Source organism: Homo sapiens, chromosome 1 (assembly GCF_000001405.40).
Source record: "Homo sapiens chromosome 1, GRCh38.p14 Primary Assembly".
Lineage (NCBI taxonomy): Eukaryota > Metazoa > Chordata > Mammalia > Primates > Hominidae > Homo > Homo sapiens.
The window spans coordinates 11,051,714-11,066,617 of NC_000001.11; the positions used below are offsets into that span (position 1 = coordinate 11,051,714).

At 54.9% G+C, this 14,904-nt stretch overlaps 1 protein-coding gene across 1 annotated transcript, besides 6 other annotated features; it reads right to left on the reverse strand.

Moving 5' to 3' along the window:
• Positions 355–434: an enhancer, noted in NCBI's record as "active region_159". NCBI's record gives its function as "activates an Ori minimal core promoter by ATAC-STARR-seq in GM12878 lymphoblastoid cells {active_cell/tissue: GM12878}" and the evidence as "EXISTENCE:reporter gene assay evidence [ECO:0000049][PMID:35858748]".
• Positions 1,042–1,121: an enhancer, noted in NCBI's record as "active region_160". NCBI's record gives its function as "activates an Ori minimal core promoter by ATAC-STARR-seq in GM12878 lymphoblastoid cells {active_cell/tissue: GM12878}" and the evidence as "EXISTENCE:reporter gene assay evidence [ECO:0000049][PMID:35858748]".
• Positions 1,452–1,701: an enhancer, noted in NCBI's record as "active region_161". NCBI's record gives its function as "activates an Ori minimal core promoter by ATAC-STARR-seq in GM12878 lymphoblastoid cells {active_cell/tissue: GM12878}" and the evidence as "EXISTENCE:reporter gene assay evidence [ECO:0000049][PMID:35858748]".
• On the reverse strand, positions 2,876–8,305 carry SRM (spermidine synthase). Its single transcript, NM_003132.3, has 8 exons — positions 8,064–8,305; positions 7,512–7,632; positions 7,087–7,179; positions 4,891–5,044; positions 4,298–4,381; positions 4,068–4,213; positions 3,249–3,371; positions 2,876–3,172 (listed from the first exon to the last, which is right to left on the reverse strand). The coding sequence occupies exons 1-8, from the start codon at positions 8,228–8,230 to the stop codon at positions 3,152–3,154; spliced, it is 909 nt and encodes a 302-aa protein (NP_003123.2). The 5' UTR covers positions 8,231–8,305; the 3' UTR covers positions 2,876–3,151.
• Positions 7,825–8,014: a silencer, noted in NCBI's record as "silent region_259". NCBI's record gives its function as "represses an Ori minimal core promoter by ATAC-STARR-seq in GM12878 lymphoblastoid cells {active_cell/tissue: GM12878}" and the evidence as "EXISTENCE:reporter gene assay evidence [ECO:0000049][PMID:35858748]".
• Positions 8,225–8,754: a silencer, noted in NCBI's record as "silent region_260". NCBI's record gives its function as "represses an Ori minimal core promoter by ATAC-STARR-seq in GM12878 lymphoblastoid cells {active_cell/tissue: GM12878}" and the evidence as "EXISTENCE:reporter gene assay evidence [ECO:0000049][PMID:35858748]".
• Positions 11,663–11,742: an enhancer, noted in NCBI's record as "active region_162". NCBI's record gives its function as "activates an Ori minimal core promoter by ATAC-STARR-seq in GM12878 lymphoblastoid cells {active_cell/tissue: GM12878}" and the evidence as "EXISTENCE:reporter gene assay evidence [ECO:0000049][PMID:35858748]".

Below are 14,904 nucleotides of genomic sequence, written 5' to 3' on the forward strand. Positions count from 1 at the left end.
GGAGCAGTTTAGGGAGGGTGGGAATCTCGTAGCCTCCAGCTGCATGACTCTAAACCATAATTTCTAATCTTGTGGCTAATGTTAATCCTACAAAGACAGTCTAGTCCCCAGGCAAGAACATCTGCTTTGAGAAAGGGCTGTGACCGTCTTTGTTTAAACTATAAACTAAATTTCTCCCAACGTTAGTTCAGCCTACGCCCAGGAATGAAGAAGGACAGCTTGGAGGCTAGAAGCAAGATGGAGTTGGCTAAGTTAGGTCTCTTTCACTGTCTCAGTCATAATTTGGCAAAGGCAGTTTCACAACTTCCGCTTCCTGGGTTTAAGTGATTCCCCTGCCTCAGCCTTCCGAGTAGCTGGGGTTATAGACGTGCGCCACCACACCAGGATAATGCTTGTGTTTTTAGTAGAGACGAGGTTTTGCCATGTTGCCCTCCCAACACTCCTGGCCTCAAGTGATCTGCGCACCTCGGCCTCCCAATGTGCTGGGATTACAGGCATGAGCCACCACCCGGGGCTGCGCTCATTGTTCATGAATTTGTACAGCTTCATCTCCAGAGCCCTCCTGATCCTTTCCTGGCAGTCATTGGGTGGGGTGAAAGTCCCAACCCTTCAGTCTTTAGGTCTTACTTACCAGCCCCACCCTGAGGCTCCCCCGGGGCTCTACCCTAGACCACTGCATTAGCATAAACTCGGGAGTTCTCTAACAGAGCATATAATGAACGACAAGACACGCCTACCGATCAGGAATTTCCAAAGGTGTTAGCGGCTCCGTGACAGGAACTGGGGACAAACACCAAATCGATTTCTTCTTCTACTACAGAAGATAAACCCCAAATAATCAGCTCCAAGAGGGAAAGGGGCTGCGGGAGGAGGACTGTGATTTTTCTTCTGACAAGCCGCACGGACCCATGAATCCTTAAGCCAGGGGCCTGGCTAATTATCATAAATCAAATTTTGAAAAGTCTAGATAGGATTGATGTTATTCCCCATGCCACACTGGGCCTGTTTGTGGCCCAAAGATTTCTGGGACGCTGGGGGACCCAGGTTGTGTCCTCATCAAGGCTGTTTCTGTTTCAGCAGATCATCCTGGGCTGCATCGCACCCACCCAGTCGTGGGGCTCAGGCTTGCCCCCATCCCTGGTGCATGCCTCTTCGCGGCGGCCAGGTGTGTGTATAGACTATAGGCTGGGGAGGCGCAGGATCTACGCTGCCGGCAACTTCATCTTCCTGCAGCTGCTTCCCAGATCTCCTGCCTCCCAGATGGCCCCGGCTGTTTCCACAACCTGGTCCACCCTCCCTTCTCTCGGGCCGGCACTGGTTGAGGGCTGCGTCGCACGTGCTTCTCACCAAAGCTTCCTAACAGGGACGGTGTGCTCCCCCTCTGACATCGGGGTAACCGGCAGAGGGCCTGCGTGGCTGCAGGTCACAGAGCTGAGGGAGGCAGAGTTGAGATTGAGATCTGGACCGATTCCAGAGCCCTTGGGGAAAGGCCCTCACACTTAGGGGGTCACGGGATCGTCCCTCTAAGGGGGCAGCATTCCCTGCCTGGATCTTGGCCAGGGAGTAGATGTCAGAGAGACCATCCATGCCGGGACCTCCAGAGTGCCTGGCCTGAGATGCAGGAGACCCTGGGGTGAGCAGGGTGGAGTGGCGTCGGACGGTGGCTGCTGATTGGCTGTGTGTCCTTAGGCACATCGCCTTGCCTCTGTGCAGCAGGAACAATGCCTGGCGGGCAGGTGGTTGTGAAGGTTAAATGAAAGTGCCTGGCCCACCCAGCTGCAGCCTGGCCTGTCAGGCTCCAGAAATAGCCCCTGCCAACCCACCTGAACGCCAGCTGCTCCTCTCGGGCCTTCCCTGAGACTATGAAGGCCCGGGGGCAGACGCCAGCTCCCCAGACTGATTTGAAAGGTCAGGGTGGCCTGGAGAAGTTAGCCTGAGGTCAGATCTGCTGATGGGCCAAAGGTCTGAAGGTGCTCAGTCTGGTGAATTCACAGGGGTGGGGAGTGGGGGGCAGGTGGAGACTGGAGGGCTATGACTGGCCTGAAGCCAGAGTTGATGGCGAAACTGAATCCCCCTTACTCTGGTGTCCCAGAAAACATACCCGGGTGAGTTAGGGCTCCAAGGTGGCTGCCTCGGCTGGGAGTGGGGCCTCCCTCCCTGATGCGTCCGCTAGCCCAGCCCCTGCCCAGGGTGGGGAAAGGGGTTGGCAACTCAGGCCCATGCAAAGAGGGTTCCTTTCCTGTCCTCCCACCACCGTTGGGTCCTGGAAGGCGGGAGTTCAGCACCTTGGAGAGGGGACAGCCCTGGTCCTCGCAGTCCCTGGTGGGGTGCCCACACTTGCTTTCTCAATTTGTCCACATAGGGGGCGGGGCATGGTGGGAATTTGAACCCAAGTCTGAATGCCGGGTGGAGTCAGGGCACAGTCACTGGGCCAGTGTTAAGCTCCTGATGTGCTTAAAAAGGCCGAAGGTAACCAGCCCCGCCACCCCTTCCTGTATTTGCCCTGGAGTACCTGGATGGGACCTGACTTACACCTGTGAGTGTCCCCAATTTTTCTGAGAATGCTCCCGGGCAGCCCCACCCTGATCTCACCCACCCCACTGCCCTGGGGGGCTGTCACCAGTGGCCTTGTGAAGGGCTTGGTAAAAGGACAGCTAAGTCAGCTTCCCAGGACAGCTCTGGGTCCCACGTGACGACTGCGGTGACCCTCTGTGCCCCAGGCTATCCACGATGGCCCGCCTGCAGCCTCAGCCCTGCAGCAGACACTTGGGGGTCAGCCAGCAAGGCCTCTGCAGACCCTCACCCCAGAGGCACCCAATGGTGAATGTGGCCCTGCCTGGGCCCAGCCAAGGTCAGGAGACACAGGACTCCAATCTTTGCTATAAATACACGTGTTTGGTGAGTGAGGGGCAACAGAAGGCAGAGAGATGGCGCTGTACACAGCTGGTATAGGCTTGGAGGTGGAACGCCAGAGAGACAGACACACAGACAGTCCGCCCAGCAGGGCAGGCCGGGCAGCATTCTGGGGCTTGTAACACTTGGTTGGTGGGCGAGAGCCAGCAGGAGGTCCGGCCCGGGGCTGGAGGGGCCGAGGCACCCCGCAGGCTCCAAGGTCCGAGGTCCTGGGTGGCATCAGTGGTGGCGCCTGGGCTCAGCTCACATCATTCAGGGCCTGGAGGGACATGAGGCCAGTCAGGAGGGCGCTCTGGGTCCCTGGGTCCCACCACCCAGCCCCGCAGGCCACCCACCTTGCGGGCAAACTCGGGCAGCACAAAGGCGGCGCGGTGCACGTCGGAGTTGTAGTACTTCAGCTGCATCTGCGCCACCTGCTGCTGTGTCAGCGGCTGCACCGGCTCCTGGAAGTTCGTGCTCTGGGGACCGGGCCAGGGGCACATCAGGGGGGGCACTTTTTTTTTTTTTTTTTTGAGACGGAGTCTCACTGTTGCCACGCTGGAGTGCAGTGGCGTCATCTCAGCTCACTGCAACCTCTGTCTCCCAGGTTCAAGTGATTCTCCTGCCTCAGCCTCAGGTACGCGCCACCACGCCCGGCTAATTTTTTTTTTTTTTGTATTTTGAGTAGTGATGGGGTTTCTCCATGTTGGTCAGGCTGGTCTTGTACTCCTGACCTCAAGTGATCCGCCCACCTTGGTCTCCCAAAATGCTGGAATTACAGGCATGAGACACCGCACCTGGCCTGGGGAGGGTTTTTTTTTTTTTTTGAGTCGGAATCTTCCTCTGTTACCCAGGCTGGAATGTAGTGGCGCAATCTCGGCTCACTGCAAGCTCCGCCTCCCGGGTTCACGCCATTCTCCTGCCTCAGCCTCCCCAGCAGCTGGGACTACAGGCGCGCGCTGCCATGCCTGGCTAATTTTTTTGTATTTTTAGTAGAGACGGGGTTTCACCGTGTTAGCCAAGATGGTCTCGATCTCCTGACCTTGTGATCTGCCCGCCTCAGCCTCCCAAAGTGCTGGGATTACAGGTGTGAGCCACCGCGCCCGGCAGGGGCAGGGATCTCTATTTATGCCCACCTTCCCCCCAACCCCCACCCCCAGACACCCCCATCTCACCGGGTTCTTGCTGCACAGCATGAAGCCGATCTGGCCGCTGGGGTAGGTGGGGATGGTGCAGTAGGCATAGGCCACCACGGGGAACAGGGACTGGCAGAACTGCCGCATCTCCTTGATGAGGTCCAGGTGCAGCCACTGGCACTCGCCTGGGGGCCCCTAAGCATCAGCATCCGGCAGGGCCTGCCCTGCCCCACCCCGCCCCGCCCCAGTGCTCCAGGCCTGTGGCTCACCCTGGCAGCAGAGGACACCATCTTCCTTGAGGGCTGTCTTCATGAGCTGGTAATAGGACTCCTTGAAGAGACTTTCGGCGGGGCCTGGGGAAGACAGAGGGAGACACACTGAACAGTCTGGCTGTGACCTCCAGGGCCACTGTCACCCACACAGCTACCAGGTGGCCAGAGCCAGGATCTGAACCCAGGTCTGTGGGGGATCCACACCTGAATCCCATTCTTGGGGGAGTCTCATTGGCACCACAGCAGAGGAACCTCTAACCTAGGCCTTCGTTCAAGACTAGAACCTGCCCCCACTCCAGTGCTGACCACTTCAGAGCAGAGGGGAGGCTGAAGAGGACACAGGGTCCTCAGTGTCCCAATGCCAGATCCCCACTCTCCTTGGTCACCAGCTTGTGAATCTGGGCAGTCGCCTGGCTCCTGCCTACTGTCCTGAGCCATGTTTCAGAGGGCAGGTAACAAATGAGAAGGGAAAAGTACAGCTCTAGTTCGGGGGGTGGGAGGCCGCTCTATCCTTTACTCTGAAGGCCTGGGGGAGGCTGACCTCCAGACCTGCAGCTGCCAGAAAACCCTGGGGCCCATCCACTGCTTACCCATGGGGTCTGAGGAGTCAGTGATGATCACGTCGAAGGCATCCTGATTCTGTTTCATGAACTCAAAACCGTCACCCACATGTAGGGTCAGCTTCGAGCTAGAGTAGCCAATGGCCATGCCTGGCAGGAACTTCTTGGAGACTTGGATGACATCCTGGAGGGGATGGGAGGGACCAGTCTGGGCCAAGGGGCTGGGGGACCTGGAGCCAGCACAGCCACGTGGGACTCTCCAAGTGCCTCACAGGCAAGCCGCCTTGGCCAACCCCTTCCCTTTTTTTTATTATTTTTTTTTGAGACAGGGTCTCACTTTGTGGCCCAGGCTGGAGTGCAGTGGCATCGATCATGGCTCACTACACCCTCGGCCTCCGGGGCTCAGGTGATCCTCCCCCATCAGCCTCCTGAGTAGCTGGGACAAGTGTGTTCAATCATACTTGGCTACTTTTTAAATTTTTGGTAGAGATAGAGTCTCCCTATGTTGCCTCGAACTCCTCGATCCTCCCACCTCGGCCTCCAAAAGTGCTAGGATTACAGCTGTGAGCCACCACACCTGGCCCCTTTTGGGAACCTCAGTTTATAATGTGTAAAGCGGGGAGAACTCTGGTACCTCCATTTCTCCTTGAGAGCTGGCTCCTGCCGGCGGCTTGGGCTCCTCTCTCCCATCCCTACCCCCTCCTTCCAGACCAAATCGCCCCATCTGAGTGGCTTTCTTGTCGCTTCCTATTTTATTTATTTTTCGAGACAGTCTTGCTCTGCTGCCCAGGCTGGAGTGCAGTGGCACGATCTCAGCTCACTGCACCCTCCTGCCTCAGCCTCCCGAGTAGTTGGGATTACAGGCGCACGCCACCAAGCTGGGCCATTTTTTTTTTTTTTTTTTTATTTTTAGTAGAGACCTTGTGATCTGCCCGCCTCAGCCTCCCAGAGTGCTGAGATTACAGGTGTGAGCCACCAGCGCTTGGCCTGTTTCCTATTTTAGAAGGATGCAATTCCAACCTCTGGCCAGGAGAACCTCCCCCTCCCTGCACACGGCCACCTGCTTTTCACTGAGGTCTCAGCTCAAACGCCACCTCCTGGAGGCCTGCCCTGACCACCCCCCATGCATTCACAGGAACCCTGCCTTCTCCTGTCCCCCAGCCCCTGTCTTGCCTTCATCAGACCATCCTTTGATGTCTCTATTTTTGTTGTTTGTTTTTTTTGAGACAGATTCTTCCTCTGTCACCCAGGCTGGAGTGCAGTGGCGAGATCTCGGTTCATTGCAACTTCCGCCTCCCGGGCTCAAGTAATTCTTCCACCTCAGCCTCCCTAGTAGCTGGGTTTACAGACATGCACTACCATGCCCGGCTAATTTTTGTATTTTTAGTAGAAATGGGGTTTCACCAGGTTGGCCAGGCTGCTCTTGAACTCCTGACCTCAGGTGATCTGCCCGCCTTGGCGTCCCAAAGTGCTGGGATTACAGGTGTGAGCCACCACGTCTGGCCATCTGATGTCTCCTTTAACTAGGACATCAGCTCCTAGAGGGCAGGGACTGATCTGTCGTCTACCACTGTCCCCATACCCGGGCAACACCTGGCACGTAGCATGATTTTAGTGAGCAGCTACTGAGTGTAAGGGGTAACGTACAAATAGTTGAGCTGTCTTGGGGCCCTGCCTGGGGCTCAGATTAAAAATCAGCTTAGTCGGCTGGGCGTGGTGGCTCACGCCTGTAATCCCAGTACTTTGGGAGGACGAGGCTGGCGGATCACCTGTGGTCGCCAGGTCCGAGACCAGCCTGACCAACATGGAGAAACCCTGTCTCTACTAAAAATACAAAATTAGCCGGGCATGGTAGCGCATGTCTGTAATCCCAGCTACTCCGGAGGCTGAGGCAGAAGAACTACTTGAGCCCAGGAGGTGGAGGTTGCAGTGAGCCGAGATCGCACCATCACACTCCAGCCTGGGCAACAAGAGCGAAACTCTGTCTCAAAAAAAAAAAAAAAAAAAAAATCAGCTCAGTTTTAGTAAGAGCTCGCCACGCAGGTGCCCTCACCACCTGCCAGGCCCTCTGCCATCTGGTTTTCCTACTGAACCCTCCCCGACCAGGTGTTTTCCAGATGGAGAAACAGGCCCTACCTGCCTTGCTCGGGGGTGTGCAGCCATTTCAGGGCACAGCTGGCCGCTGGGAGAACCAGGACTCAAACCTGGCTCTACGCCGGCACTCACCTCGTCGATCTCACACTGGACCACGGACTCCACGGAGGGGTGCTTCACCACCTCCCGCAGGACACCTCCATCTCCGCCCCCGATGATCAGCACCTGGGAGGAGGGGGCAGTCAAGGCAGGGGCCCTGGCAGGACTGGGAGCCCCCAGGCCCCTGAAGCAGACCCCCTGACCCCTCGGACCCACGGGCCTCATCTTTTTCTACCCTCGGAAACGCTTTCGTGCCGGTGTCCCCTTTCCTGGAAGTTCCTTCCAGGGCTGCCCTAGGATTCCGAGGCCGCGTCAGTGTCGGCCCCCACCCCTCCGCGGGACGCCCCTGGCCTCGCTAGCACTTTCTCTGACAACCATGCAGGCAGCATCTGGGAAGAGCCCGGAGCACACCTGGGGCCGCCCCTCGTCCGGCACTGTTCCAGGGGACACTGGGGTACCTTTCGCGGGTTGGGGTGGCTGCAGAGAGGCAGGTTGGCGATCATCTCCTGGTAGGAGAACTCGTCTCTCTCCGTGCACTGGATGACACCGTCCAACACCAGCACGTTGCCATAGGTCTTACTGCGGGCGGAGTGACAGTCGGGGACCTGGGTTCTCTGGGGTGGGGAAAACGTACCCCAAGCCGCCCTGGGTGAGGAGGGTCTCCCCATCCCGCCTAGGGGTCCCAGGGATGAGGAGCGATGGTGACACGTGGCGAGGAACGGCAGGCGGGCCGCCGGGTGGAGGCCGGGGTGGGACCCGGGGTCTCCTCGGGCTCTGACGTGTCCTGAGGGCTGACACGTGGAGCGGGGCGCAGACTCCGACTCCCCCACCCAAGAGGCCAGCCCGCAGTCCCAGCCCCAGCCCAGGGAGGCGGTGTGAGGGGTGGCGAGGGGGCCAGGGCAGGACGAGGTCCAGCCCGCTTGGGTCCCGGCGTGGAGAGGCCCGTGAGGCGGGCAGCAGGCGGCCCGGGCTGAGCCTAGGGGGCAGGCGCCTGCGGGCAGCGGCGGTACCTGCGGAAGACGAGGATGTCCTGGTAGCGCGAGCGCCGGTGGTGGAGCAGCTGCTCCACCTGCAGTGACAGGGCCTGGCCGGGCCACAGGCTGCAGGTCTCGCGGAACCAGCCCTCGCGGATGGCGGCGGGGCCGGAGGCGGCGGGGCCGTCGGGGCCGGGCTCCATGGCGGGCGGGCGGGCGGCGCGGGGCGCGGGCCCGGGACTGCAGGCCGCGCGGCGCCGCAGCACAACGGGACCAGCTCCGCCCGCCGCCCGCGCCGCAACCTAACCCGGGCGCGGGGCGGGGCCTGCCGGCGGGGGCGGAGCCCGCGCTCGCCAATGGCAAAGCGGCCTCGCCTGGCGCTCATTGGCCACCGGCTCGCAGAGCGGCGCAGAGTGGCTGTGGCGCGCCGTCCGTCGGCGGCAGCAGGGTAGTGCGGCCCGCTCCAGGGGCCACGTGGGGCCCGGCCGGGGCCGGGCGGCCGGGTCGGGTTCCGGGGCGGGCTGGGCCGGCGGAAGGGGTCCGGGTCCTTCCTCCGCCCCAAGCAGCCGGGGCGGTGCACCACCGGCCCCCGCTTCCTTCTCGGGGTTGGGAGGCACCGAGGGCCTCGAGGGGCTGCGGGACTCGGGCTTGGTGTGGAGGGCAAGAGCGCTGCGACGTGCGGACTGGAGAGTCAGCCTTTGGGCTGGAGACACGGGAGCGGGTGGCTACAGTGGTTTACGTTGTTGCACGGGGCGAGTAGAACGTATCCTTCTTTGCGTCCAAAATCTGGTTCCTTGTTGGATTTGAACAGATTATGTGGCTCGTCGGGGCGAACCGAGGGTTTTTATTTACTTGGAAAGAATCATCACAGCCCGCGAATTCACAAGCTGGATTTAGCCATTTTCCCTTAGATTCTGCGCCATGAGCCTATAGGCTGTTGAATACGAGAGAAGTGCTTTTCTAAACGAGTTTCTAAATTTACCAGCAGTGTCCAGGAAGAGGCCCAGAACATACATATTCAGCACCAGAAAAGACTGGCACGCAATTTTTCTTGACAAACTGGGTCTTGCTCTTTGAAGGGTGGGTGGGAATGTGCTGTTTTTATGAGAATGTCAAAGAACTTCTCAGAATCACATTAAGCATGCTAATTACCAAATATTAAATGCTAATTGTTCCACACGCAGTTCGAATGCCAAGGAAGGAAGATGAAACTAGTATAAGCTACTCTTGACATTATGTCAGGGATGGTTTTGACACGTTTTGCAGCCTCCACCTGGAGGTGGGGAACGTTTCCTGTGTCGTCCCCAGAGCAGAGTAACAGCGTTGTTTATGGGTGAGAGCAAGCCTCAAGCCTAGGCAACAATGTGCCTTGCTTGCTTTTAAGCTCCTTCTAAAGGGGAGGTAAACCAAGACCGCTAAAGAATTGCTAGGTGCCTGGGCGTGATGGTTCACCCCGGTAATCCCAGCACTGTGGGAGGCGGAGGCGGAGGCGGGCGGATCACGAGGTCAAGAGATCAAGACGATCCTGGCCAACATGGTGAAACCCCGTCTGTACTAAAAATACAAAAATTAGCTGGGCATGGTAGTGCGCGCCTGCAGTCCCAGCTACTCGGGAGGCTGAGGCAGGAGAATCGCTTGAACCCGGGAGTTGGAGGTTGCAGTGAGCTGAGATTGCGCCACTGCACTCTAGCCTGGGCAACGATAGTGAAACTCCGTCTCAAAAAAAAAAAAAAAAAATTGCTAGGCAGCTGGGCACAGGGGCTCAGGCTGATAATACTAGAATTTTGGGAGGCCGAGGCAGGAGGACCGCTTGAGCCCAGGAGTTCGAGACCAGCCTGGGCAACATAGCAAGACTGTCTCTAAAAAATAAAAAACATTGCTAGGCAACAGCTTCCATGGACTTGTTCCAGGAACGAAGATTATTCTTGAAATGTCCACGTAGTGGATAAGACAGAGTCAATCAGTGTGTCCAGTGCTACAGGCTTGATTGGGTTCAATCCTGTACTTGGGTCAAGGTGTTTGCCTACATTGCCTGTACTTCCTCCAAGACATTTCTGCCTCTGGGTTGTAACTGCCCGTGTACTTGTCTGTGTTCCCTAAGCCAGATCATAAGCTCTGAAGCTGAGGATGGTGGCTGTAGATGGCAGTACTTGTCTGTGTTCCCTGAGCCAGATCATAAGCTCTGAAGCTGAGGATGGTGGCCGTAGATGACAGGCCTGGATGCAGCCAGGTGCCTTGTGGATCAGCTTGCTTTTAGGTGGTGAAGGACTGACCATAGACAGTGGCCCTGGCATTCCAGGACACTGCATGGGGGAAAGTGGAGGGCCAGGTCCATCCCATCCCCTCTATAAGCTGGACAAAGCTGCTCCAGCATGTGGGTCCTCACATGAAAAAGGCCACATTGACATCCTTTGTCCTCCTGTAGAGGGAGTGAAACTGAGAGGCCTCAGCCTCAAGCAGGCACAGAACTTGAGACCTCTCGGCCAGAGTGTACAGACATTGCACAAACCTTCCAAGTTCAGAGAAGACAAAAGCCCTGAGTAAATTACAGACAAAAAAGCCCCCAAATATACAGCACTGTGAATCCAGAAATGCCACCTGACTTCAGGTCACAAGGAAGAAAAACTGATTTTGCCAGAAGTAGCCATTATTGCACAGCCCAGTTATAATCACAACTGACGTTAAAGTCAGGCCAGATGACCACAGAAGTCTACAGAAAAAAACCAGGATTGGCCACGCGTGGTGGCTCACGCTTGTAATCCCAGCAGTTCGGGAGGCCAAAGCGGGTGGATCACCTGAGGTCAGGAGTTCAAGACCAGCCTGGCCAAGGTGGTGAAATTCCATCTCTACTAAAAATACAAAAACTAGCTGCCATTGTGGCGTGCACCTGTAATCCCAGCTACTTGGGAGGCTGAGGCATGAGAATTGCTTCAACCCAGGAGGCGGAGGTTGCAGTGAGCCACAGTCGCACCACTGCACTCCAGCCTAGGTGACAGAGCGAGACCCTGTCTCCAAGAAAGGAAAAAAAAAAAAACAAAAAAAAACACCCCCAACACCAAAAAACAAAACAAAACAAAACAAAAAAACAACCAAACAACCAGGACTGAGAAAATCAGGCTTTAGCATGAAATGTTTTCCCCTAAATTCAGACCAATGTACCTCAAAAACCCAGTTGTAAAGCTTAAGTGTCTAGTGGGTTAACTATCCCACCCAACCTCCTAAAAAGTGTTATTATAAAAGGAAAAAGGGGAGAAAGGGTAGAGGAGAGAAAGGTGGGCCAATGGCTACTGTTCAAGGAAATGGTTTAAATGGGGCTGCCACGTGGTTATGTGTCTGTCACGAGAGGCTTGTTAAGCAGTTAGCACTTGAGTCATTTTTCTACACTTCCATTCAGCCAGGCAGACAGCTGTGGTTATGAGTGGGAACAATTTTGGCCATTATGTGGTGTGGCTTGGTTGAAAATGCTTATGGCAAGCTGCCTAAGGCACCGCAAACAGCAGCATGCCTCCTTGAGCACACAGTCCTTCTGCTCATAAATTCTCTCTCTACCTCCAACCTGGCCAGCCCTGCCAGATCCCTTTCCCTTCCTCTTGGAGCACAGGCCCAGCCATGGCCTCCACTACTCAGTCACTGCACAGTTCCTGACCCACACATACCCCTCTATGTGCTCACCATCCTCCTTAGTCCTGTCCCAGGTGCTCCCCAAGTGACCTGACATTGAGCTCCAGCTGTTGTTCTTTGAACACCCAAGACCCTCATCTCCACCCCATGGCTGAGGAGTTCTGGATTTGGGGTTTGATGGACCAGTAAACCTCTGCAGACACCATCTAGGGACTGACACTGGGTTGCGAACTTTTTATTTTGCAAGATTGAATATTTGAAAACAACTCAAACTCCTGTCTAAGGTTCCTGTCTTTTAAAAAACAAACAGAAGGCCAGGCACAGTGGCTCACGCCTGTAATCCCAGCACTTTGGGAGGCCAAGGTGGGTGGATTACCTGAGGTCAGGAGTTCAGGACCAGCCTGGCCAACGTGGTGAAACTCCATCTCTACTAAAAGTACAAAAATTAGCCAGGCGTGGTGGTGGGCACCTCTAATCCCAGCTACTTGGGAGGCTGAGGCAGGAGAATTTCTTGAACCCAGGAGATGGAGATTGCAGTGAGCGAAGATCATGCCATTGCACTCCAGCCTGAACGCCAGAGGGAGACTCTGCCTCAAAAAACAAACAAACCAACAAACAAACAAACAGAAAAACATTGTCACACAGACAAAACCAATATGGAAAACTTCCAAAGAAAGGGTGCGGCATCACTTTAACGGGTGAGCACAGCGGCCCTGGCAGCCTCCAGGCTCTAGGTGGCACTGGATTCTTTCTGACAAGTCCTCATCTGGGCTGTCAGAGACCTCCGCTTTGAGCTGCGCTGCCATAGAGCTCTCTGGAAGTCCCTTGCTCCTCAGGGTCCAGTCCGAATGCGCCTTTCACGAGGCCTCTCAGGCCATCCTCAGGAGAAAATAATTTCTCACTTTGGCCAGGCGTCGTGGCTCACGCCTTGCAATCCCAGCACTTTGGAAGGCTGAGGTGGGCGGATCACTTGAGGTCAGGAGTTCAAGACCAGTCTGGCCAACATGGTACAACCCCGTCTCCACTAATTAGCTGGGTGTGGTGGTGGGCGCCTGTAATCCCAGCTACGTGGGAGGCTGAGGCAGGAGAATTGCTTGAACCCGAGAGGCAGAGGTTGCAGTGAGCTGAGATCGTACCACTGCACTCCAGCCTGGGTGACAAGAGCGAGACTGTCTCAAAAAAAAAAAAAAAAAAAAAATTCCACCTGTGAGGCCGGGCACAGTGGCTCACGCCTGTAATCCCAGCACTTTGGGAGGCTGAGGTGAGTGGATCACCTGAGGTCAGGAGTTCGAGACCAGCCTGACCAACATGGTGAAACCTTGTCTGTACTTAAAAATACAAAAATAAGCCGGGCGTGATGGCAGGCGCCTGTAATCCCAACTCCTTGGGAGGCTGAGGCAGGACAACTGCTTGAATCCAGGAGGTGGAGGTTGCAGTGAGCCGAGATTGTGCCGTGCCATTGCACTTCAGCCTGGGCAACAAGAGCGAAACTCCGTCTCAGGAAAAAAAAAAAAAAAAAATTCCGCTTGTCAATTTTTTATAGCAGAGACTGCCATTTTTAGGCAGTGACTGTTCTTTGTCCTTCGATGTCTGTTCTTCCCAAATTCTATAGTAGAACCCTGGGCTTTTAGTTGGACACACGGATGACTGAAATAATGATATTTCCTAGTACCCCTTGCTGTGGTCTTGTGACTAAGTTCTGACCAATGGGAAGTTGAAATGGGCAGTATCCTATTCAAAGAGATTGGGTGCTGTTCTTTCCTCCTTCCAGCAGACTGGAATGAGAATGTAATGGCTGGAGCAAGGGCAGTCACCCTGCACCATGAGGCGGCAGCCTTGTGTTTGAGCTGAGGATGGTAAAACAAGATAGGAGCCTGTGTCTGATGATCATGAGCATCACACTAGCTCTGGGCCAACTATGTTTACAAAAGAGGAGGAAAATCATCTCTCTTGTTAAAAGTCACTATAGTTTGGCTTTTCTGTCATTTTCAACCAGTCTAGTCCTAGCTAAAACAAACTCCAGCCTATCTTAGGACAGGGCTGTTCTCTGCTGTTCAAGAGTGGGAGCTCTCTGACGGCAGTGATGTGTGATTTGGCTTGGTACCCCCCAAAGGTTATCATATACAGTTGGCAATCTCAATACTTTGTGGGATGAATTTCAAAGAAAAAAGGTTTCTAGGTTAAGTATTTGTAAAAACCAAAGTAATGGCATTTTGTGCTTTCCTGATTTATTAGCCCATCTCAGGATTAAAATAAAATGAAGTTCTAAAGAAATTATCAGAGACTGGGTCACAAATTTATATAAAAGTTTAGTGAGTGCTGCATTATTAAGAATAGTACCAAAAATGAAAACCTAAGCGTTTAACAATGGGGGTTGGCGAAAATAAATTTTAGATTGAGAAAAGTGTCATAACACAAACTTTCAAGGTGACAAATGATAGAAACCTGAACCCAAGATATATTTTAAAAATATATCTATATACACATAGCGAAAGCTTATAAGGAAATACAGCAAAATGTTAATCTCAGCTGGGTGTGGTGGCTCATGCCTGAAATCCCAACACTGGCAGGACAAGACAGGAGGATTGCTTGAGGCCAGGAGTTCAAGACCAGCCTGGGCAACACAGCAAGACCCCATCTCTATAAAACATAAGAAAAATTACCCAGGTGTGGTGGCATGTGCCTGGGAGGTCAAGGCTGCAGTGAGCTAGGATCACACTACTGCACTCCAGAATGGGCAACAGAGTGAGACCCTGTCTCAAAAAAAGGAAAAAAGCATCTTTGTGTGACAGGACTACAAATGATTAAAATTTTCTCTTTGCATTTGCCTTTTTTTTTGAGACAGAGTCTTGCTCTACTGCCCAGGCTCAAATGAGGTGGCGTGATCTCGGCTCACTGCAACCTCCGCCTCCTAGGTTCAAGCGATTCTCCTGCCTCAGCCTCCTGAGTAGCTGGGATTACAGGCGTCCACCACCATGCCCGGCTAATTTTTTGTATTTTTAGTAGAGAAAGGCTTTCACCGTGTTGGCCAGCATGGTCTCGATCTCCTGACCTCGTGATCCGCCTGCCTCAGCCTCCCAAAGTGCTGGGATTGCAGGCGTGAGCCACCGCACCCGGCCGGCTCTGGATTTTTCTAGAAGTCACCATAACCCCCGGAGCACACTCACCTGCCCACAGACAGCTGAAGATGGTTGCCTGAACAGGATGGCAACCTGCCAGAGCTGTGGCGGCAACAAAATAAAAGTCAGGAATCAGC